This window comes from Homo sapiens, chromosome 7 (genome assembly GCF_000001405.40).
Source record: "Homo sapiens chromosome 7, GRCh38.p14 Primary Assembly".
In the NCBI taxonomy this organism is placed as follows: Eukaryota; Metazoa; Chordata; class Mammalia; order Primates; family Hominidae; genus Homo; species Homo sapiens.
Window position 1 is genome coordinate 154,539,342 of NC_000007.14, and position 26,406 is coordinate 154,565,747.

Below are 26,406 nucleotides of genomic sequence, written 5' to 3' on the forward strand. Positions count from 1 at the left end.
AAGAGTCTACTCATGTGCTTACTTACTATTTTTGTTTTATAAAATTTCTTGGTGTACGCATGTTCTCACTCATAGGTGGGAATTGAACAATGAGAACACTTGGACACAGGAAGGGGAACATCACACACCAGGGCCTGTTGTACGGTGGGGGGCAGGGGGAGGGATAGCATTAGGAGAAATACCTAATGTAAATGATGAGTTAATGGGTGCAGCACACCAACATGGCACATGTATACATATGTAACAAACCTGCATGTTGTGCACATGTACCCTAGAACTTAAAGTATAATACAAAAAAGAAAAAAAAAAGGCATAAAAATTCTAGAAGAAAACATTGGAAAGTGTCTTTATCATCTTGGAGGGTCAAAGATCTTTCTAATTATGGTTCAAAACTAAGATGTCGTTAAAGATGGATACATTTGATGAAATAAACATTTTTTTAAATTAAAAAAAATTATTGGTGTATTTATTTTGCCTATTTTTTTCTGTTGGAGTGTTTTTATCTCATTGATTTTGGGGAGTTGTTTTTTATACAACCCTACCTTTCAGAAATACACCCTTTCATTCATAGGAGATATATATGTACATGTCCATATGCATACCATTTTGAGTAAGCGTTTTTACTAATTTTCTAAGGGGATGCTTGAAATCTTGGTTGTTCATCTACAAGAGGCCAGACTCAGCATCTATGAGATGTATAGATTCAAAGGTATTCATGGCAGCGAAGAGCTAATTCCTCCAAGCAAGAGCACCTAGGGGAGCTCGTGGAGCAGATGAAAGCATGTTTTGCAGGATGTGGCTATGGGCCACAAGCATTCTGCATACAGATTTACTCCAAAGTTGGATATAGGAAATTAGTCCCTTTACTAACAGTTGTCTTTGGCTCCTTGGAGTATCTGCTTTCTTAATCTGCTCTTTGTGTCCTGCCCAAGAACATTCTAGCTGTTCCAAAGGTTTTCGGTGTGTGCGCCTGTGCTTTCTATGTCAATGTGTAAAGTAGGAGAGAAGCATCATGTGAGGCTGGATTAAGAAGAGCTGGGCATATTGCACCATATTGAAAGGGCCGTTTGATGAGTGGGAGCCTATCTTTTTTTCAGAACTAGTGATTTTACTTTACATAAGCATTCGTCAAAAGTTGAGGAGAGTTCCTTGATGTTTCATGTGGTTTTTTTCTACTTCCTCTCTTACAGATACAGAATTCATCTACAGAGAACAGAAAGGAACAGTGAGACTGTGGAATGTTGAAACAAATACTTCTACTGTCTTAATAGAAGGCAAAAAAATTGTAAGTACTCTCTTTAATGACCGGGATAATTTCAGTTTTTCTTCCTGCAAGTCAATAAAACAGAAAATGACTTTTGGTTTCAACTTTTAGCATAGCCAAGGAGAAGCAATAAACTTGTAATACTACAGGCTGAGCAACCAAAGATAATGTGAAATTGAAACCACGCTAATTCAATAAGATGAAAGCACTGTTTCTTTCATTGTCTGGGAAATTTCTCTGCAGGTGTTGGGAACAAGTGTTGCATATCATATATAATTAAAAGATAAAGTCCTAAGGCTTTTACACATTTACAGAACAATTGCAATAATGCATGTAGAATACTTCAGGAGAATTTGCTCAATCCTGTTTAAAAAAAGCTCGTCTCCGCATGCATAGGAAGTATTAACTTAGGCACTGTGACTGTACTTACCCTAATTATATTAAGTGGATGCTTATGCCTCAAAGTAAATACTGAGTCAATATGAATGCCACTGCTTTATGATTTGGGAAAACTTGTTTTCCCAAATATATGTATATTTTTTGAGACAGGATCTCACTCTGTTGCCCAGGCTGGAGCGAAGTGGTGCAATCATGGCTCATTTGCAGCCTTGACCTCCCAAGCTCAGGCAATCCTCCCACCTCAGCCTCCTGAGTAGCTGGGACTACAGGCGTGTGCCGCCGTGCCCAGCTAATTGTTTTTGTTTTTGTTTGTAGAGATAGGGTCTCACTATGTTGCCCAGGCTGGTCTTGAACTCCTGTACTCAAGCAATCCTCCTGCTTTGGCCTCCCAAAGTGCCGGGATTACAGGCCTGAGCCACTGTACTCGACCCCAAAGATTTAAATGGCATTAAGATTTGATGTTCATGTACGGTTAAAGATATGTATTAGAAATATTGACTGGAGTTATACACCAAAATCAATTTAAAGAGAATTAACATTTTGTTTGTTTACAAAATGTTCAGACTCTTATTAGAATAAATAAATCTCCAACTCAAAGCAGTTGATTCTTTTCTTGTTTGAGACACTGGGGAAATCAAAGGACAGAACTAAGGTTAAAGCTATGTTAAAAAGCAAGAATTGAAACAGGCTGTGAATCCCGTTAAAGCGATCATAACAGGGCTCTGGTATGAATCAGAAACACAGAAATCCTAGAATCCTATAATCCGGGATTAGAGGAGGTTGTAAAAAAAATTAACCGGTTCCCTGGTTTTACAGATAAGGATCCTGAGCGAGACTTAGAGCATGAGCTTTTGAGTCTCACAGCTCAGTGATGGCTGAGGGAGCATTCAGGTGGTGTCCCAGAAGCCTGTGTCCCAGGGAGAAGGAAGGATGGCTTCATCTTTACCCTACCCCATCCCCAGATCCACAGAAATGCTGTGCTGCCTTCTTTTCCCTCCTAAAGAACATGTAACTTGCTATTTAAATACTTTCATTTCTTTTCTTTTGCATAAAGATACCTTTTTATTAAAAGGTTTGCTGAGATTTAGTATTAAATGCATGCTGCCCCTAACATAGACTGCAGGCGTAAGGGAGGCCTCACGCTGTTGGATGATGGCATAGTTCCAAAAATGATCACTTTATTGAATTAAATAGTATTCTGCAAAGTAGGACCTAGGACAAATGAATGTGCCTGCATTTTTGCATTAAAAAAATCATCTTTGGTAGAATTACTCCCCTAAGAGAATCTGATTCAACTCACTTAGAAATACTAACGTTGTAGAAATGGTTTTCTAATATTAATAGAGAGGATAAAATGATCAGACTGTTGCTGAGCGTCAGTGCATTTTAATGTCGGAATGTTATCATTATTTCCTGTGAGGATGTCAGTTTAGTAAAGGCTGGGTGTTGTACATAACAGCAGCACTTAGCAATGAAATACATGAATGTGAACCGCCTTCTCTTTCTAAAATCAATAGCTTGTGACAGATCATATATTTTAACTGAAGTTATTTTAGCCAAGTCGCCTTTAATAAGGTGACTTCAGAAACCACCATGGGTAAAGAAAAGTTCTCATCTCAGAAATTCGCTGGCTTATTCTATATAATGCAATCTTTTTTCCTTAAAATGTCACTTTTCCATCCATTTTATAAACATTTATTAAGCACCAAATATGTACAGCCTAATGGATTCATTATTCCTTTCTCAAAGCTACATTTAAATGCTCCTGTCAACAGACTCAAAATAAAGAAGACAAAAAATGTCATTTAGAGGTCTGCATCCTAATTTAATTTAATCTGGATTTAATTTCCGCAGAGCCACTTAGTCATTTAAAATTATCATGCCTCAATTGCTCTATCTCCAAATTAAAGCTGATTTCTTCTGCCAGCCCAGAACCTGGGTACTCTGTGAGATCCAGCAATGGAATATGTGTATGCTCTGTGTGTTTTCATGAGCAAGTATGGAGAAGGTGAAGCCTGGTGTTCCACAGGGGCTGGAGGTTGGAGGATCACCCACAGCCTGGAGGAATTGGGAATGGGGAGCAGTAGCTCTTCCATATTCTGTTCTCTTGCCTTCCTGGTGACTGATCAGGTGTTCTCTTCTCATTTGAATTCCAGAAGCTGTGAGCTTGTATAAATGATAAAAAGCAATCTGAGGCCAACTGTAATTTTTAAGTTGGGCTATAAAACAGCCTTAAACAAGTTGAGAAATGGAAAGGAATTGGTAAATTCTGTGGTCAGCAGAATTTTAAAATATTCCCTACAACCTTGACCTCTAATAACCTCATTCTCTTTCCCGAGCCAATAAAAACAGACCCTCCTCATAGCTGGTCACTGCAAGGTACCAAAGCCTGTTTGCCTCCAGCTTCTTCTTTGCTCCTGCGCTTACTGTGATTGGCTCTTACATGGGACAGGTGGATGGAAGGGCCTGCAAATCACTGCAAACATTTTGTCAATCCAGCAGGAAAGCTTTTAAGATAGCTGGTGATTAAGCAAATTCAGAGCTTGTGCTAAGTTCTGTATTTACATGGATGTATTTCACCTTTCCTTCCCCCAAACAATTTCTTTTGACTAAATTTACTAATTCAGTCATCCTTTATTGTGCTTTTAAATGGTAGAAATCATGAAATATTTCACAATACCACAAACACTTTAGATTGTTGAGTTCAGACCAGGTGCGGTGGTTCATGCCTGTAATTCCAGCACTTTGAGAGGCCAAGGCGGGTGGATCACTTGAAGTCAGGAGTTCGAGACCAGCATGGCCAATGTGGTGAAACCCCATCTCTACTAAAAATTAAAAAGTTAGCCGAGCATGGTGGAGCATGCCTGTAATCCCACCTACTTGGGAAGCCGAGGCAAGAGAAACGCTTGAACCTGAGAGTTGGAGGTTGCAGTGAGTCGACATCGTTCCACTACACGCCAGCCTGGGCAACAGAGTGAGACTCCATCTCAAAAAAAAAAAAAAAAAAAAGAGTTTCTGTATGTGTAAACATTTAAAATTCTATGATGATTATATTATGGTTCACAATTTGGGGGGCATTCTTTTGTTTTATATATATATATAAAACAAATATATATACACACAAATATATGTATTTTATATATATATTTTATATATATATATATAGTGGGCTATTTCCTGATCCTTATTATTTGATAGCATATCATATTTGATGGTAGCTAAGAACTGCTTTTTAGAAAACATTTATCAAAATGTCTTGATCCATTTCCTCTTTTGAGAATTTTTGAAGTGCTTGTCTACATTTCTACAGAAAATGAATCAAATAAAAGCACAGTTGTCCCCAAAGCACAAGTGCATCATCTCTGAAGTAGCTCTCCTCAGCTGTAAAGGCTGCTGCCCAGTTCTAAGCTCACTGGAGCAGGTTCTGTTTGGGATTTAATTTTGTCTCCCACATAGTGCTCAGCACCATGACCTGCACATAGTAGATGCTCCACTGCTATGTGTTTTATGAATGACCGCTCTAGAATAACAAAACAATAGAGTTGAGCAGTTTTCCAGAAACATCCATGTGAGTGACAGGTGTGGAGGGGCATTCAGCACTGGGGTCATGACTTTGAGCTTCAGGTCTACCTTCCAGCCTTGGCATTGTGCTCTGCTCAGGAACAACAGGACCCCAGCCGGTTGTGCAAGTTCTGAATGTCCAGTCTTATCCCTCAGGAGTGTCGTAGGACTGAATTACAGTTGTAACAGCTGGAATGTGGGTATATGCCACATGTGGATTCCAGAGCGTTAGGCTAGACCAAAGAGCCTGGGCCAGGCTCAGGGCTCAGGCAGGAGGAGTGGGTTGGTTCTATGAAGGAAGAGACAGAGGATGATGATGTCCAAAGGAGCATGACAAGGATGCTGCCGCATGTGGGCGGCTGCGTGGGTCCAGGCAGCAGTAGCAGACAGTGGAATCCACGCCACTTTAGTTTTGAGGTCCATCCCTCATGAAGCTGGATGTAGCCTGCATCCCAGAGTGAGGCAGAGGCATCCAGAGCTGGTAATTACAGCAAGAGGCACTCGCAGAACTCTAAACATCAATAAAAAATCAAACCTAAGCTCACTTTTATTTGAATTACATGTTTGATGTCACAGAAATTCCGGGACCTTACACTTTACTCTTTTAAACACAATTTTAAATGTCAATGTTATTTTACGTTTCATGCTCCTTATAAGACTCTTGTCAACAAGATAGCACATCTTATCAAATGGCCTTTGTTCTATTATGTATCTTGTTTTTTTTTCCTAAAAAATGAACCACCACAAATATATCTCATGGTCCAAAATTGGATCTTTGGACATTTGGCCAATGGTTGCCTGGTTCCTAAAGTCCTCATGAATTTTTATCTTCTGAGTAGAACACTCCTTTTTCCTTTCCCTCCCTCCCTCCTTTTCTTCATCCTTCACTCCTCCCTCCCTCCCTCCCTTCCTTCCTTCCTTCCTTCCTTCCATCCTTCCTTCCTTCCTTCCTTCCTTCCTTGTAGAAATACACTTAAAATAGCCTTAATACATTTTGCTGAACTAAATAGATTTCTTGGGGACTTAATTCTTACAAAAATTTAACACCATCTCTCCAATTCTTTTAAAACATAATAGAGCAAAAATTATCAGAAGGGTGAAGTGTTTCACCAGTGCTTAATATTTAGATATTTAAAGCTGAAATAGTCTTTAGAGACTGTGTCTTTCAAACTCTTCTTTTATGAGGTGAGGAAACTAAGAATTTCTAAGAACAGTTCTCTGGCTTAACCTCCACTGATAGTGCTATGGATGTAACGCACCAGTTCAGAATGAGTCACTGTATTGACCTGTGTCACTCATACTGTATAGGCCCTTTTTATTGACAATGCTATCAGTGACAAGAAGCATTAAGATTTATATAGTCATTCATTGTATCACTTAAATTCTGCCAGGTGTTTGGAAAGCAACTTAGTGATACGTTTCAGGAGCAGTAACAATATTGATGCATTTTTATTTGCTCTGGGGAATGCTTCTGTACAAAGTTGCAGCATTATTTGTTAATACAATAGTGAAAATACTTGAAACTAGGAAAATGAGATAACTTTTTAAAAAAAGATAAAATATGATGTATTCATTAAAATAATAGCTATGAAGGGTATGTAGCGATACAAAAAATATTTATGATATATTTTAAAAAGATACAATATACTAGGCTAACAACTATATATATTGAAAGGCTAGAAAGTGAACACTGAACTATGAAAATACTTAATCTTGTTGGGTGGTGAGATTTTGTGTATTATTTTCTAGTGTGGTGATTTCCATAACTGCCATTTCAATGCCATTTATTCAATAATTTTAATCGGGATTTAAAAATTTTGGTTTCATCTTTCAAAAAACAGCAGACTGCCTTCTCACAATGAGTATGTAAGAGCTGTAGACAGTTCCCGGAAATTCTTGAAGGAGAAAATAAGTCGATTATTTAAAAAAAAAAAAAAAAGTATTCTATTGTTATGCTTATGTCAGGCTTTCTCCATTTTTATGTCTTGTTTTAATTACTAATTTCTTTGTTTTAATTGCTTATTTTAATGACTAAATTAACATCTAAATGAAATGTATTTTCTCTAAGCTGTATCCTTCTTGGTTTTATATAATCATAGATGTAGAATTTGAATTTTTATCTCTGTCTCTAAAAATTAATTAATTCTGACTCCTCACAGAAAGAGACATAAATAGGCAAGTATTATTAGACCCATTCCAAAATAAGAAGAACAAATAATAGGCCTGTTTGTACTACCAGAGGAACTCCAGAATGTGGCTGAGATTAGAACTCGAGACTACTTTCTTTTTACTTCTTCAAATAAACTCCACTGGATACTTGACCCCTGCATCAGTAATTCTCACTTTATTCTATGTCATTTAATTTCTGTTAAGTGCTTTATGCGCTAGTCCTCTCAGCCCTGAAACAGGGTAAATTTGGAAGGAAACAGAAGCCCACTTTCTTACCTCTTTCTCTTTTCTGTTCTGCACAGAGCCCAGTGCACTGTTGAATGGGAAGCACAGGATGTTCTGACAGGTGTCATCTCAGCCAGGAACAGGCTGGCCCCCGGGAAGTGGGCTCAGCCTCGGTTTCAGCTCCTGTTGTCCTGAGTTCACTGACCACTGATAACCAGGACGGTGGCTGCAACTTCAGTGGGCCAGCAATGGCCCATGAGCCATCTCTAATCTGAGGCTGGATTTCACTTAGCATGTCAGTGAAAACCATGAGGGGAAACAGCCGTGTTTTTGTGTACGGTTGAGAGGGCATAAACTGGCAGCTCGTGATGCCCACTGAAATGTTTTGTTTGGCCCACAGAGTGGTTTTTACAAACTAACCCAGATTTCTGGCGTCTCTTGAAAAATACAAAGATCTGGCAGCAGCAAGATCCTCATTTGCTCACAGAGAGCAAAATTTGGCTGGAGCTAAGAGGCAGCTGGCCCCTCAGACAGGACATGGGCCGACCAGCCCTGCAGTGACCCACATTTGCTGACTTCTAACCAGACTGGTCTCTGAGTTTGAAACCCCTTTTAGTTCAGGAACAAAAGGGTGGCATAAGAACTCAATGTCTTCTGCAAGAACGTTGCACATTGTGAGAAATCGTAGCACAAACTGTCTTGGTATTATCTGTATTCATTTCTGTCTGTAAAATTCCCTGGATCCTCTTTGTCCCCCTATGTCATTATTTCATTTTTCTCCTGTGTCTCAGAGGGTCTCTCTCTCTCTTTTTTTTTCTTTTGTCTTTCTTGTCCTACTTTTCTCTCTCCTGCCTTTTCTGTTTCTACTTCTCTTACTACAAGATAGAACAGAAAACAAGTATATTTTACTTACTTTTATTCTAACTTTTACCACATAGACCATGATTTTACTTTTTAAAGTGGATGAGGCTGAGCACAGTGGCTCACGCGTGTAATCCCAGCACTTTGGGAGGCCGAGGCGGGCAGATCACTTGAGGTCAGGAGTTCAAGACCAGCCTGGCCAACATGGTGAAACCCCATCTCTACTAAAAATAAAAAAATTAGTGTGGCGTGGTGGCAGGCGCCTGTAATCCCAGCTACTCAGGAGGCTGAGGCAGGAGAATTGCGTGAACCGGGGAGGTGGAGGCTGCAGTGAGCAGAGAACACGCCACTGTACTCCAGCCTGGGCAACAGAGAGAAACTCCATCTCAAAGTAAAATAAAAATAATAAATAAGTACAGTAGATGAGTATTTATACTTATGTCTTTAAAATATCTGAAAAGAGGCCGGGCGCAGTGGCTCACGCCTGTAATCCCAGCACTTTGGGAGGCTGAGGTGGGCGGATCACAAGGTTTAGGAGCTTGAAACCAGCCTGGCCAATATGGTGACACCCCATCTCTATGCCTGTAGTCCCAGCTACTCGGGAGGCTGAGGCAGACGAATCGCTTGAACCCAGGAGGCAGAGGGTACAGTGAGCCGAGATGGTGCCATTGCACTCCAGCCTGGGTGACAGCGAGACTCCATCTCAAAAAAAAAAAAAAAAAAATTCTGAAAAGCAGTACAGTAGTGGTTTAATCTTTCTGGCCCCAGAGCTACTGTTCCCTGCAGGCTAAGGGCTGTGTACCATCACTCCTCCATCACACGTATACTCTTCAAGTGACAGTCAGGGAAGGCCTTCTCTGTGCAAGGCCCTGACTAGACATGGTGGTGGGTGGATACAGTGATTAATAAAAACAGATTTCTACTCTTATGTAGCTTTCAGCCTGCATATAAAAGAAGTAGTTGTTTTAACATAATATATTTTGCAACGGAGGTATTAATCCAATGTGCAATGAGAACAAGGTGAGAAAGAAAGAGGATTGCTGGGAACTCTAGATAGAGGCTTGCAGAAGGAACATTTCAGCAGTCCTTGAACATGGGAGAAAAGTCGGAAATGGCATAATAGGCAAAATGAAAAGGGTGGATAATTCCACATTTCAGGGGTAGACAGTGCGGTTAGTAGGTTGTTTTGGGAGGGGCTTGAAAAGTTGTGGCTGGAAGGTCTGGGGAAAAGGTGGAGAGAGGTCTTCAGGAAGCTTCCATTGTGTGTAGTCTTTAGTCTGTAGCACATGGAAAGGTGTCAACCAAAATTAAAGCTACTGAAGCAGAAATGATGTAATAAAGGTTTATTGGAAGCCACAGGTGAGAATCGATCTGGGAAAACACACCAACAAAGTTGGACATGTTCCAGAATCTGTTACAAGCCAGAAGGCTTTCATAAGAAAGTTTAGGAGAAGTGAAGGGGACTCCTCATATCAGAGTTGTCCTTTATCATTAAGAGGTACAATAAAAAGGTTCCAATCACTGACAACAGATTGCAACACACAGGCTAAAATGCCTACGTGCAAGACAATCAGTAAAACTTCATGATTCAGAGGCAAATCAGCATCCTTTTCAATGTCAGTAGATCACACAGTAATCAGTACGTCAACAATTTGAAGAGCTCACAGTAAGATTGTTTACTTAGCGACAAGATGACACACAAGACTTCTTCCCCAGGTGACTTAATTTGGAAGTTTGCCAAATGTGACCTGTAGGGTATTATTTCCCTCTTTTGATTAAAAAAACAACAACAACTAACCATGGAAGCATTGATGATCAGTCTCTGCTTACGTTAGAAGGGTAGACATCCTTCTTTCCTTCCTTGGCTCTGCGAAGGCTCATTCCCAAGAAGTCATGTCCCTGAGTGGGGAGAACAAACCTTATCATCGCATGTGGGCCAGGTTGCTAGCAACATGGGGTAGATCATGACACGAGGTTACATGCCAATCTCCTGAATAATGAATCAACCTCCAGTCTCTGGACGATCATTATTTTGGCCTTAACTGTGGAGGCATAGTTTACAAATTCTGGAGAATTCAGGTACAGAGAAAGGTAAATGTTTTAATTTTATTCACAAAAGTATACTTTACCTGATTGTTTTAAAATACAAATAGCTCCTTTATTTATAATTTTTAGAAATATGTTTTGCTATAGTATTGTTATTTTATTTGGAAATAAAGAATGAGTATTATTTAAATTGAACATAACTTTAAGATTGAAAATTATGTAACAATTATTTATAAAAGTTTATCCCATTTATATTTACCTAATTTATTTATTTTTAACAGTTTACCTGGATTGCTCATGAAAACTGAGATATTGGACAAAGTTAGTCATTATTTCAAGTTACTTCCTTGTTAACCATTTTTATGGCCTGTGAATATCAGATGTTCACTTAAGGAAGGAGTTTAGGTTAAATATATGGGTATTTTGCTAATAACTCAGAAGATACAGCTTTTTTTCATTTAACCAACAAGATTAAATTAGTCTTACCCTTCAAAAAATTACACAAAAATCATTCTGGTTTTGGCTGGGCTTGTAGTTCTATAACCTTTGTGCCAAACCCTGACATTTAAAAATATCTAGCAGAGACAAATATAAAATTGTCTTCCAAGTATAATGAGGCAAAAGGGTATGCTGACAATCTTGAAGACATTTCTACTTTTATTTTATCAATAATTTAAAAACCAGCTTGTTTATTAAGGGTTTACTTAAGTCATGTGAACTTGGGAAATATTTGTGTTTACTAATTTATGAATGCTCATTTATTTATGTTGATTTGGTACCAGGTAGACATAACATATAATACATCTAAGTAAGTGTAAACACATCTAAACATACACAAACACAAATAAAGATTGTACAGCTTTCATTTTAGAATTTTAGTTCTTTTTTTTTTTTTTTTTTTGAGACGAAGTTTTGCTCTTGTTGCCCAAGCTGGAGTGCAATGGCGCGATCTCGGCTCACTGCAACCTCCGTCTCCCAGGTTCAAGCGATTCACTGGCCTCAGCCTCCTAAATAGCTGGGATTACAGGCGAGTGCCACCATGCCCGGCTAATTTTTTGTATTTTTAGTAGAGACAGGGTTTCACCATACAAACTCACCAATTTATAAAAGACAGCTGGATCCAAGTTATATTTCTGACAAAATTGGGACCTATTCATATGGCTAAACTTTTTTTGCCCCTATGGGTAATCTAATGAAAGCTACAGACCAAAAGTTTGGGTAAAGCAGTTTCCATGTAAGTTTGATTTTTACAAACTTCTTTTACCATTTTTTATAAGTTTCAAATGAGTTCAATTTTCAATGTTTACATTTTACCTGAAAACTGACCAAATTGCATAACAAAGACAAAATCTCCAAGTAGTCTTGAAATAGTAACAAATCTATCTTTTGTTTGCTGATCTTGTTTGATTAGCAAATGCAGGTGGGGAAAAATTTTTAGCAGTTTCTCTCTTTTTTGGGGGAGGTGGCACTTTTTCCTTTCAGCCTTTGTAGCAGAAAAAGCAAAATTTTTGTGCTAGACACAGATAGATGATTGCTCTGAGCTCAAGATTCTGACTTATTAGACCTGAGGGCCTAACTTTTCTAAACATTTATCTTTTTCTTTTAGATTATTAATTGTTCAATTAAGCATTTCATTTTAATACGAGTGGCTGAATCTATTTTACCAATGCCAGTGGAAGATCGGGATCATAAATGGTCTGGCAAAGCTTACAATAAATCAATTGGTATCATTCATTAGTTTCAGTTTAGAAAAAAACTTGTTGGATCTGTATTTTTATCATCTCAGTAATTTCATTCTCATGCTGTAGTCCTTTCATTTGCTCCTTTTGTTCCAAATTCATACATTTCCCTCTTTTGAGAGAGAAGGAAATGTGTGCATTGTGAAATTCCAAAAATCTCTGCCTAAGAAATGTATGGGAGCTGAGGGAACAAGCAGAGAAGGATGAGGAATGAGGAGCAGTTGGAGGTGAAAGGGACAAAGTCTCTGAAGTCTTTTTCACGGCAGAGATAGTTGCGAATATCCTTTTGTTTACCTCTTGAATGGAGGCAATTTTTTCTTTCAAAATTTTTTATGGAAGCTTCTAGGTGCTATTGGAAGTAAGTCTTCCATTCAATTTGTCTAATTCTAAATCCAGCTTTTTCCAATTGTGTGCCCAAGTAAATCATTTTAGGCATTTCAAAGGGTCCCCATTTTGGGTGTTGCTGCTTATGACCATGCCAAGTTAGGTGGATCCACTTATCTAAGCACTTGCAGGTAAAAGGACCAAAAGTATTGTGCATAAAACCAGCTGGTGTTGATTAGAGGCAGTGCACTGTCAGTCTCAGAAGACCTGCTTTCCATCGTGATTGTTTTGAGTGAGACCAGCTATGTAGTGGAGCAAAAGTGCCCCTCATGCCATCACTAAGGAAAAGTGCTTTCGCCCCAAACCTCCAGGGAAAAATTCACAGAGCTACTTTACCTTGCCCTAAAATTCAAACAAAAACCCTTACCTTGGATTGGTAAGAGGGATACTCGTTCTGAGAAAGACATTGTATTTTCTAGCCAAGGAGAAAGCCAGCTTCAAAAAAATCACAACTTTGACCAAGACGGGAAGTTTGTTGATTTCAGGAAGAACTCATCTGTACCACCCAGCAGGGGCGTCCAAGCTCACAATGGGTTTGTTGCCAGGATCTGCATGAAGGCTGGAAGCTGTGCTGGATGGTCCATGGAGGTCACTCCAAAGCCTACTGGCTACACCATAATGTTGACAGAAATTAAGGCTGAAATAACGTGATAAAAGGTGTATTGGAAGCCAAATGTGAGGATCAGCCCAGGAAGACACATCAACAAAGTCAGGAGTGTTCTAGAGTCTTTAACAAGTTGGAAGGCTTTTATAAGAAAGCTTAAGAGAAGGGAGGGGACTCCTCATATCTGAGTTGTCCTTTTCATTGGAGGGTATGATACAGGGCTTATAATCATTGGCTACGGATTGCAACATACAGGCTGAAATGTCTGTATGCAAGAAAATTAGTAAAACTTCTTGATTCAGAAACAGATCAGCATTTTTTCAATGTCAGTAAGTCATACAAATAATCAGCCACATCAACAATTTGAGGAACTCAAGGTAAGATACTTTACTCAGGGACAAGATGTCACCATGCATCACAAGACCTTCCCCCAGGTGGGTTAGAATTTTTGAGCTGGTTAGAATTTAAAGCCACCGTGCTTTAGGAAAATAACTGTAACCAATAAGAAAGGGGTTTGTAGAAGGTAAAGATTATAAACAAAACATCGACAGTGGCTGCTTCAAGTCCAGGTGAATGTGATGGAGGTCTTAAATTAAGGCAGTGGCTTTGAAGACACAGGAGAAGTTGGTTTAAGTTACATCACAGGAGTAGAATTGATAACACTTGGCTTCACTTTGTGTACAGGCAGATGGGATTAAACAATAGTCTATGTTGTCTGGGGTTTTTCGAGACTTGCTCATGGGTGGAGAGATGTCAAATTCAGAAACTGAAATGGGGAGAGAAACAGATTGTGAAGTAGAAAACCAAAGCCACTTTGAGGAATAAGCTACTGCAAGGTATATGCAGAGTTCATTAACTAATAGTTGATATTTTGAGTGCTTACGGTGTGACTAAAGAATCCTAAACACTCTACGTTCATTATCTTACTTAACCAAAATCCTTAGGAACTCTGTGAGCTTCAGTACTTTATTATTATTTTAAAACTCAGAAAAAAGAGGTTAAAAAACCTTTTACTAAGTCACACAGCTGATAGCTGATAGTCCTGAGAGCTGAAGTCAGCTTTGTCTAGTTCCAAACTAAATTATTTCTAGACTGCATACATAATCCAGCTGTAGCCTTGGTCGCTGCAGTTATAAGATAGGGCTGAGGCCGCCATTCCATTACTGAGAAGGAAGCCACCGCTTCAAACACTGTGTTCATATCTGTGAGTCCATCATTACATATCACGTGGTTACTCCTGGAGGCCACTACATTTGCCCTAAAATGAAGACTAGAGATGCAAAACATTGAGTCAGTTTAGCCTAATGCCAAAAAAAAAAAAAAAAAAAAAAGTGCTGACACAGCTGAGTCCTGGGGAACGATCTGTTTCAAGGTTAGAGAGAACCGAGCTGTAAACCATCTGGACGCTTTTTCGATGTGGCTATTTAATCATCTTTCCACTCTGCTCTATAGCATCTATGTTTTCAGGTTTTCTCTGACTCAGTAAATGCAGTGCTGGGAGCAGCACCCGAGTCTGTCTGATTCAAAATTAAATTATTCTTAGGTGAATTCAGGGCCCAGAGGCAGGCTGTGGCCACTATCATTAACATTATCGCCAGGCCCAAGGGTTCTGTCTTTCTCATTGACCAGGAAGGGAGAATACAATCATCTATTTATGTTAAATTTGATGTGTGCACCCACAGAGTTGCACATAGCATCCTCCTGTAACAATCTTTTCAGTATTTGTCTTTTGTTGATCATTACTCATCTTGTATATTTAGGGTTTTTTTTCATTATGAGTTTCATGAGGAGGTTGTATTCAAAAAAGCCTCTGGGTATATTTATGCTTTCTACCATTCATTTCCCTTCCATTACTTGACAAATTGGGGGCATTCTATCATTTTATATCTCTTTTTTCCCTAACAACCACCTTTTCTTCTCTGCATTTATTATCACATATGTATTTATCTACTACAGGAAAAACAAACCAATCCTTTAGTTAGATATGTATCTCCTCAGAAACATGCCTAGAATTTTATATAAATGGGATCATCATACATGTAGACCAATATTTTTAAAGTCAGCATAATGTTATTTAAACTTGTGTTATTGATATAACTGGTAGCCCCAGATAATGCAAAAGGTGAAATACTGTATATACCCATCTCTCTAGTAAGTATAAAAGTTATGAGCAAAATATTAACAAGTGGAGTTCAGCTGTGTACCAAAATCATAATATGCTAAAGTCAGGTTTAATGATTACAACAGCATTTAAATATCAGGAAATCAATCAACAAAATTTATTAGAACTACAAAATGATAGAAAAATCCTTATGATTAAGTCACTAGGTGCTGAAAAAGGGATCTGATAAAGTTTATCAACAGCTCCTAATAAAAATCCTTGCTAATGTAAGAATAAATAATTGCTTAAATATGCTAAAGGTTGTTTACCAAGAACCAACCATCAGTGAAAACCATTCTAAATGACAAACAATAAAACCATTTCAATTATAGCCAGGTATCAGGCAAGAATACTCACCATCACCATTAATATTTAATATGTTCTTGAAGAAAGTGCAACCAAACCAAATGATTCAAATAAGAACTAGAAAATAGAAGAAAAAAAGACAACTTTTTTCTCATAATAGAATTTTATTTCTGAAAAACCTAACATATATTAGTTTTAATATACACCATGGAATACTATGCAGCCATAAAAAATGATGAGTTCATGTCCTTTGTAGGGACATGGATGAAGCTGGAAACCATCATTCCCAGCAAACTATTGCAAGGACAAAAAACCAAACACCACATGTTCTCACTCATAGGTGGGAATTGAACAATGAGAACACTTGGACACAGGAAGGGGAACATCACACACCGGCGACTGTTGTGGGGTGGGGGAAGGGGGGACGGATAGCATTAGGAGATATACCTAATGCTAAATGACGAGTTAATGGGTGCAGCACACCAACATGGCACATGTATACATATGTAACAAACCTGCATGTTGCGCACATGTACCCTAAAACTTAAAGTATAATAATAATAAAATAAAATTTAAAAAAATCCAAATGTCAAAAAAAACTAATAAGAACATATCTTAATATGGCTAAATACAAGAAATATATTATGAAATCAATAGCTTTTCTCTTCACCAATATAAATACCTTGAAGTGAAAATGGAGAAAATATTCCATTCACAATAAGAACAAAAATATAAAAAGACTTCAAATAAATCTGACATGAACTCCAGAAGATTGAACAAAGCAAACTATAAGATCTTGTTAGAAATTTGAAAACATTAAAAAAATTGTATAATATTAAATAAGAAAACAATATTTAAAATGTTAATTATTTGAAAGTTGATATCAAACTTTAACACAATCCTAATTAGAACTCTGAAACTGCTTTAGTGTAAACATTTTGCAAAATGATCTTGATTGTCATATATAAGAATAAACACCTTTGTGTAGCCATGAAGCATTTCAAAATGCATAGTAATGTATACTCTTTTACCTGCAGTGAAAACACACAAGAACGACGTTATATTCAACTCAATGACAATAATAGCTAACGCTTTGAATACTTATTATGTACCAGGTATTGTAATTACTTTATTAAATTTGTGTATCAATTATGAGGTAGGTACAAATATTATCTACACTTTACAGAGGCATAAAAAATTGAGAAATTTTCAGCATCTCTCATAGTGAATGGTATAAACAGGATATGAATCACAGTCTGTCTGAATCCACAGTCCAAGCTTAAAACTATCAAATTTTGCATAGAAGTAGCAAAGAGAGTGCTGAAAAACTGGAGAATTTGAAAGAAGCTTCCAATATAAACAAGTATTTGACATGAGAAACACTAGGGATAGGGTGACACACTTAGAACACAGTGCTGGCATAACTAACTCTTCATCTACAAAGATGTAATGTAAGTCTCATTGTACAAATACACAAAATTACGTTCCAATTGGATTAAAGCCTTAAATGTTTTTAAAAGTCTATAATTTGGTTTCATAAAAAGAGAGAAATTTTTAATCAAAATAGGAAATCCTGAAGCTATAAAAGATAGCCATATTTAATTTGCCATATATGATTTTAAATTTTAATTTTAAGAAAGGCAAAATTAGTAGACAAACAATGGAAAATATTTACAATCCAGGTAACAAGTAAAAGGAGTATATCTACAACTGATAAGGAATTCTTCCAAATTGAGCACAAAAAGACAAATAAATAATAGAAAATGAACAAAAATATTTTAGAATTAGCTCAATCAAGCCTGAAACCAAGGCCTGCTTTGTTTGGGAAATTGATACATAGAGCAAACGTTCAGGAATGTGTTAGATGTTTTTTTGCATTCACTATTGGCACTTGGTGAGAAGGTAGACCTGCAGCTCAAAATTTGTACAACTGCTACAGGATCCCTTGAATTTGTAACAGGGCCACTCGTTCTGAGAAAGACATTGTATTTTCTAGCCAAGGAGAAAGCCAGCTTCAAAAAATCACAACTTCGACCAAGACGGGAAGTTTGTTGATTTCAGGGAGAACTCATCTGTAGCACCCATCGGGGGCATCCAAGCTTATCCACCAGATAAGTGGAGCCACCTAACCTGGCATGGTCACAAGCAGCCAAGTCCAAAATGGAGACTGGGGTGGTCAGAAATGCCTGGAATCACACCTAACCATGGCAGTGGTGAGTTTCTCAAAGAGAAAACAAATTCTCACTGTCTCCGGCAGCATCGTTAGCAATTGACCCTCCATCAAGGAATGTGACCCGGACTAATTTCTAAGTGTAAAAGTTGCATTCTTTGCTGGTTTCTTTTGGTGTTATTGCGTATCAGCCCCACTGTTGCCACTCTTGTAACAGCTGAGGATGTAATCATTCATTTCTTCAGCAAACATCTAGGGAGCATCTCTATTATAACCCAGTCACCGTTAGGCACTGGGAATAGAACCGTGGCAAAACAAACTAAAATTTGCTTCTTGGCATCTGGTCCTGGCCATGAGACTATAAGAGGATTGGAATTACCCTCCTAACATAAACAACTATAAAATGGGATAAAATGTGGAGAGAAAAATCAGTTTTCATGTATTGGACAGCAGGCAGTGCACAGCTGTGATCCCCGAGAAAAGAAAAACAAATGAATGAACCATGCCATCCCGTGGGCTTTCTGCGTGAATGCTGTACTGCAGCACGAAGGGGAAAAATTCAAGACCTGCAGTCTTGCCAAGTTAAGAAGACAGAAGTCAGAGTTCAAGAAAAGAAGATGGCTACAGTTTATGAGATGGAGTACCCAAAAGGAGGAAACTAGAGAATACTCACAAAATCTATTTAAGTAATTCCTTTTAATGGCAAAACCACAATTACTTTATTATTATTATTATACTTTAAGTTCTGGGGTACATGTGCAGAATGTGTAGGTTTGTTACGTAGGTATACACGTGCCACAGTGGTTTGCTGCACCCATCAACCCATCACCTACATTAGGGATTTCTCCTAATGCTATCCCTCCCTTTACCCCTCCACCCCCCCACAGGCCCCAGTATATGATGTTCCCCTCCCTGTGTCCATGTGTTCTCAATGTTGAACTCCCACTTATGAGTAAGAACATGTGGTGTTTGAAAAACCGCAGTTACTTTTGCACCAGCCTAATACATAGATTTCCCTTTGAGACCTCGGTTAATTATTGACCTTTATATGTGAATAATGAAACACCAAAAGGCAGAACAAAATAAAACTCCAAGGAAATAACAATTACAGAACTCTGTTAGATGAAGTATTCCCAGAGCTCATATATTGTCAGGAATTATTTAAGTTTATTCTAACCATGAGACATTAAACAGAGACCCCAGGAAAGTAGTTTCTTAGGATGAGGTTCAATTAGCACTCAAATATAGTCATGTGTCACATAATGGCATCTTAGTCAACAATGGATGTAGGACATTGGTCCCCTAAGATTATAATATCATATTTTTATTGTATCTTTTTTATGTTTAGATATTTTTAGATATACAAAAATTACCGCTGTGTTACAACTCTCTACAGTTTTCAGTAGAGTAACATGCTGTACAGGCTTGGAGCCTTGGAGCAATAGGCTATGCCATATGGCCTAGGTGTGGAGTAGGCTGTACCATCTAGGTTCGTGTAGGTACTTTCTGTGATGTTTGCACAATGGCAGAATCGCCCAATGGTACATTTCTCAGAACATATCAGATATATTGTTAAGTGATGCATGACTAATGGCCACTATGGAATAACCCTTAAAACATCTTTTTTAAAAACCTTGAATAAGTCAGGTTAATCCACAAATAATTAATTGCCTGTCATAAAAAGTCCAATATTCTTTGAAGGAAAACAAAAAGTCCTAAATTCAACAAGAGAGAATTAAAAATATCTGGTGTTAATTTAAAAATAAAACATGATATATGCAAAGGAGCAGGGAAATGTGACTCCTAATGAGGAGAAATATCAGTTGATAGAAACAGAACTCCTGATAACAAAGATAAGGGAATTAGCAGAAAAACACATGAAAACTGCTAAGATAAATGTATTCCAAATGCTCAAGGCTATAAGGAAAACCATGAACATGATGATAAGAGAAATTAAAGATTATAAGACACCCAGATAAAATTTCCAGAGATTAAAAAAAAAAAAAATTCTCTAGATGATCACCAGGTTAGATACCACAGAAGAAAAAAAAAAAACCCCTAAATTGTAAGCAGTAGCAATAGAAAACTATTTAAAACCAAGAACAAAGAGAAACTTGAAAAAAAAAAAAGCCTGAACAGCATGTCAATAAGCTGTTGGACAGTATAAAGTAGACTAATATACCTGTCATTAAAGTTCCAGAAAGTGAAGAGAGAAAAGAAGATAAAACAAACTTTTGAAGAAATAATGACTGAATTTCTTCCAAATTTGGTAAAGAACTCAATAAACTCCATAAAGAAAATAATAACAAAGAATATGATAATCAAGTTACTTAAGATGAGTGACAAATAGAACATCTTAATGGCAGCCAAAGGAGCGAGACGTGTTTGGAAGAACAAACCTAAGAAAACAGCTGACTCTTCAACAGAGGTGCTGCGAGCCAGAGGACATTGGAATGAGATCATTTAAAGTGCTGGGAGGCATAAAACACTGTCAGTCTACAGTTCTACACACCACAGAAATATCTCTCAAAAATAAACATTAAGAATTTGTATAGGCCCAGCTACTCAAGAGGCTGAGGCAGAAGGATCCCTTGAGCCTAGGAGTTTATGGCTGCAGTCAGCTATGATCACACCACTGCACCCCAGCCTGGGCAACAGAATGAGACCTTTTTCTCTTAAAAAAAATAATATATATAGATATATATATAAAGATATAGATATATATAAGATATATATAAAGATATAGACATATATAAACATATATATATAAAGATATATATTTTCAGAGAAAATCAGACAGTATTTATTGGCCATAAACCTATACTATGAGAAACTTAAGGGAAGTTCTTTGGAGTAAGAAAAATTACACCAGATGAAAAGTTACATCTACATGACAGAAGGAGGTGTGCCAGGAATGATAAATGTTGTCAACATATGGCCAGGTTTTGGGTGGAAATTTTTGTAGAATTAGTTAACTAGTTCTTTAAAATATCCTTCCTTTTCTCAAAGGGTCCTTTAAATATAATAAAATATGTCCAGCTCCTCTGAATGTAATCTCATGTAAGACTTCTGTCTGAACCTTTGTCCTGCTCTAAACACTGACATGGAAAGTGAAAATATAAACACATAAAACCTTTGGAACATGTTAGAACTTTCTTGGACAATAGTGGCAATAATAAATCTGATCTAATATAGGGTGGACTATAACTGACAGTTTAAAGGACAGATTTCCTATATCATTATGCCTACAAGCTCCCCTTAATACTCCTGGAGGATTTTATATTTTGTTTAAAAGGAAAGATCCAATTATAAGCTATCTATGTTATCTAATTTTAATATAAAGACATAGATTAAAATTAAGTGAATTTTAAAGCTGGGCATGGTGGCTCATGCCTGTAATCCCATCACTTTGGAAGGCTGAGACTGGCAGATTACCTGAGGTCAGAGTTCGAGACCAACCTGGCCAACATTGTGAAACCACATCTCTGCTAAAAATATAAAAGTTAACCAGGTATGATGGTGGGCGCCTGTTATCCCAGCAGCTCGGGAGGCTGAGGCAGGACAATCGCTTGAACCCAGGATGCAGAGGTTGCCGTGAACTGAGATCATGCCACTGCACTCCAGCCTGGGTGACAGAGTGAGACTCCGTCTTAAAAAAAAAAAAAAAAAATGAAATGGATTTTAAGAGATATACCATCCAAACCCTAGTCAATGAAAATCTTGAATGGCTATATTAATATTAGATAAAATAGACAACAAGGAATATTACCAGAAATAAGAAGAAATATTTCATAATGATAAAGGAGTAAGTTTATTAAGAAGACTTAAGAATCCTAAAGATGTATGCAGCTAGCATTGAGCTACAATATTTGAAGCAATAATTGGTTGAACCAAAAGAAGAAATAGACAAATCCATAATTTAAGTTGTAGATCCCAACAATCCTCTCTGAGTAATTGATAGACTATGTAAAAACATTTAATAAGGATACGGAAGTCTTGAAAACACTATTAACCAAGTCAACCGAATTGACATGTGTGCATCACATCACTCATCAATAGAAAAATGCACATTCCTCTGAGTGCACGTGAAACATTCACCAGAGTAGACTATATGCTGGGCCATTAAACAAGTCTCAATATATTGCAAAGGATGGAAATTATACAAAGTATGTTCTTTAACAGAAACAAACTAGAAATCAATACCAGAAAAAATATCTGGAATGTATCTTGATAATTGGAAATTGAACAACATATTTCTAAATAACAAATCAGCCAAAGAAGAAACTGAATGTATTTTAAGTGAATGAAAATAAAAGCAATAATATCAAAATTTACGGTATGCAACAAAGCAATACTTAAAGGGGAATTTATATCTTTAACTGTTCATATTAGATCTCAGCTTTCACTTCAATAAACTAGGAAAAAAGATTTAAAACCCCAAGTACACAGAAGAATAGTTAGGAGCAGAAATCAACTACACAGAAAACAGAAAAATGTTAGAAAAAATGACCAGCTGTTTTTTGGAAAAGATCAATAAAATCAATCAAGAGCAAAGATAATGGAAAAAAAATCAGACACCAAGCAAACATATTAATAATTTGGACAATATAAATGAAACAGAAAAGTCCTTGAAAGACACAAAGTATTACAGTTCACCAGTTAAGAAATAAGTAACCTGAATACCTGGATATTGGTGTAATAAATTGAATTCGTAGTTTAAAAGCCCCACATATTAAAACTCAAGGCCCAAATTGATTCACTTGATCAATTCTACCAAACATTTATGTAAGAAATAGTACCAATTCTGCACAAACTTATTAGACAAATAGAAGAGGAGGAAGATATATTTCCAAAATTCATTTCTTAGGGCAGTATTACCCTGAAATAAAAACCAAACAAAGAAGTTAAAAGAAAATAAAACCACAGATGACATTCCCTCATGAACACAGATGCAAAAATCCTCAACAAAATATTAGCAAATTGAGTCCAACAATATATAAAAAGGGGTAATACATCACGGTCGAATAGCTTATCCCAGCATGCAAGGTTGGTTTAACATTAGAAATCAAACAATGTAATTTACCATATTGACAGATTAAGACTAAAAAAGCAAAATAACATAATCATCTCAATAAATGCAGAAAAAGCATTTGAGAAAATTAAACATACATTCATTATAAAAACTCTGAGCAAACTAGAAATAGACAGGAATATCTTCAACCTGATAAAAGATATCTATTAAAAATACCATAAATATCATACTTAATGGAGAAGAATGAAGGCTTTCTCCTCAAGATTAGGGAAAAAAGCAAGGCTGTTCACTCTCACTACTTCTACTCAGCATTATACTAGCAGTTCTCTAGAGTGCAATAAGGCAACCAAAAGCAATAAAAAGTGTCTAGATAGAAAAGAAAGGAAATACCTATATACACAGGAAATATGATTTTGTAGAAAATTCTAAGAAATATACAGAAAATATCTACCAGAACAAATAATTACATGTATCAATGCTACAGAAAATAAGGTCAGGATACCCAAATGAATTTTGCATATTAGCAATAATCAATTAAATATTTAAATTAAAATATACATGTACTTTTATATGTACAAAGCATCAATTATAGTACATCCTTGGGAATAAATTTACAAAATATGGGCAAAATCTGTATTCTGAAAACTGCAAAACATTGCTGAGAGAAATTAAAGATTAAAACCATCTTCCTTTCAAGGTGTTTACACTCTAATGAAGAAAGCAGGCAATATTTAAGATAAATAGGTTAAAAAATATAAAATATGTATTAATATGATTAGACCTAGAGAAACAAATCAGAGAAAGGGGTATAAAAAGTCGGAGGCAAGGCAGTTAATATCTAGATATATTAGCTATTGAAGGACATGGAAGGCCTCACTTAGAAGGTGACTTGAGATAAAAGCCAAAGAAATGAAAGGTTGAGAGCATTTCAGGCAGAAGAAAGAGGAGTTGCAAAGGCCTTGAGAATGGCATGTGCCTGGCTTGCTTTAGGATGGACAGAGACTGGCGTGGCTGCAGTGAAGCAGATGGGACTGAGGGGAGAATACTGGGAGATGGATGCAGAGAGCTAAGAGGGAACTAGGTCCAGCAGGGCTGCCTGGTCAGTCAGGACTTTGGCTTTTCCCACAGGTGAGATGGGAAGCTGTGGGAGGGTTTCCCAGGGGAGCGATGTGATTTACATATTTGAGAGATGGCCCTGGCCGCCTGGGAAAGCAGGTAGAAGGCCACTGCAGTACCTCAGGAAAGAATGCACATACCTTAGACAAGGGTAATGGTGGTGGGAAAGAGAAGAAATGGTTCCAAACCTATTTTGAAGGTAAACCAATGGTATTTTCTGACCACCTAGATGTAGGGTGTGTAAAACAGAGGGAAAGAGAAAAGATAGCCAAGAGTTTGACCTAACAACCAAGCTAATGGGGTTGCCACTATCTGAGAAGAGGAAAAAGGTTACAGGAGCTGGAGGTGTGGGAGTGGAGTAGAAGGGTCTCAGCTTATTCCCATTGACTTGAGGTATCCATTTGACACTCAAGTACAGATGTCAGGGAGGCAGTTGGCCAGACAAGCCTGAAGTTCAAGGTCAGGTCCAGTGCGGGTTCAGGTGGTCTGGGCTGGAGACATGAATGTTGGAATCCTCAGCCAGACTGCGCATGGTTTTTAGAACCATGAGACTGGATAACACCACCTAGGAAGTGAGGAGATCCAAATATCAATCCTTGAGCACTCCAACATTCAGAGCTCAAGAAAACAAGGAGAAGCACAAAATAGCATGAAAAGAACCAGCGAGGGAGGTAGGAGAAAAGCAGGTGATGAGTGTCCGGGAAGCCAGGTACAGTCAGGGCTTCGAGGAGTAGAGAGACTGGTCATCTGTGTCAAGTAAGAGGACAGCTGAGAAATTATGACATTTAGCAAAGTGAGTCTCTGATAACCTTGAGAAGAGTAATTGTGGTTGAGTGGTGGGGGTGAGAGCATGACAGGCAGGAGTTTAAGAATGAATAGGAGGAGAAAAATGGAAGCATGGAGAATATTTTCAAGGGGAAGTAGACAGACAGTTTTCTAAAGATAAAATCAACATTGTCTAAAACGTGGATAGTAAGGATCAAATGTATCCATAAGCAGGGAAACAAAAACTAATGAGGCATGTTTACATCTACAGGAGGGTCAAAATTGGAGAAAAAACACCTTATGCTTCCAGAGAAGGGAAGAAAACATGCATTCATACATCTGTAGTGGGAGTGCACATTCCAAAAACATTTTTGAAAAAGAATTTGGCAATACCTATTTAATTTTAAAATTTGTAAACTGTTCACTTCACCCGTGGATATCTATTCTATACAAAAATGTGAAAACCACACATATATCAACAAAGACATAGATTGGGATCTTCATTACAACATTGTTTATAGAAAGAGCTCACTAGAAATGCTTATAATCTATCCTCATTATTCACAGCTTCTATATTTCCAAATTCAACCATGTGATAAAGTGTACCTGTGAGCCCCAAGGTGATAATCACAGCACTTTTGCCATCGTTCTCAGGCATAGTGGCAGAAGATTCGAGTTGTCCAATGTTGGCATTCCCAACTGCAGCAGAACAAAGCACTATTCTGCTTTCTCATTTCAACTTTCATGCTGTGAACAACTGTCCTTTTCTGTTGTTCTATTTGGTGCTCCATTTTTTTGCATGTTTGTAACTTACACTGGTGATCTCACTGTTGAAAGTGGGTCCCAGGCATAGTGCTGAAGTACTGTATAGTATCACTAAGGGCAAGAAGGCTGTGAACGCCTTATGGAGAAAATGCATCTTTGAGATAAGCTTTGCTTAGGCACAACTCATGGGTTGTTGGCCATGAGTCCAATGTTTATGAATCAACAATATATATTCAATAAGGTGTCCTTAAAAAGAAAGACACATAAAACAAGGTTATCTATTGATCATTTGACTAAAATGTTTAGACTAGAGGTTCAAAGGAAGCTAACGTTGAGTCTCTCCTAGAAGCAATGGTTCAGTATCCACTAGTTGCACATGAACTAGTGTTCATGATGACTTTATAGAACAAAGCAACCATAAATAACAGGAATGAATTGTCTCCCTTTGTTGAGAATTGTGTGAGTAAATTAAAGTATATCCCAAGGTGTGCACCATGTGATATTACGAGCCCTTTAAAGATCACTACTCAATCAAAGGAACCCAAGTCCTTGGAGTCATTTCCTTAAGGTACTGTTGCATGAGAAAACTAAGGTGCAGAGGACCATAATATGATGTCACTTTTTTTTTCTTTTGGAGATGGAGTGTCGCTCTTGTCGCCCAGGCTGGAGTGCAATGGCGCGATCTCGGTCCGCCACAACCTCTGCCGTCCAGGTTCAAGTGATTCTCCTGCCTCAGCCTCCTAAGTAGCTGGGATTACAGGCATGCACCACCATACCCAGCTAATTTTGTAATTTTAGTGGAGACGGAGTTTCTCCATATTGGTCAGGCTGGTCTCGAA

The 26,406-nt window shown here is 37.6% G+C and overlaps 1 protein-coding gene across 14 annotated transcripts in view; it reads left to right on the forward strand.

Annotated features, from left to right (window-relative positions):
- The window catches only part of DPP6 (dipeptidyl peptidase like 6), a 1,146,153-nt gene that overhangs the window by 791,209 nt on the left and 328,538 nt on the right, over positions 1 to 26,406 (forward strand). For all 14 annotated transcript variants that reach the window (NR_157195.2, NR_157196.2, XM_047419951.1 and 11 more), the window contains one exon: positions 1,191 to 1,285. Coding sequence is in view for 12 of the 14 variants with exons in the window: in XM_047419951.1 (XP_047275907.1) it covers positions 1,191 to 1,285 (95 nt within the window). In the remaining 2 variants the exon portion in view is untranslated. The remainder of the gene's footprint in view (positions 1 to 1,190; positions 1,286 to 26,406) is intronic.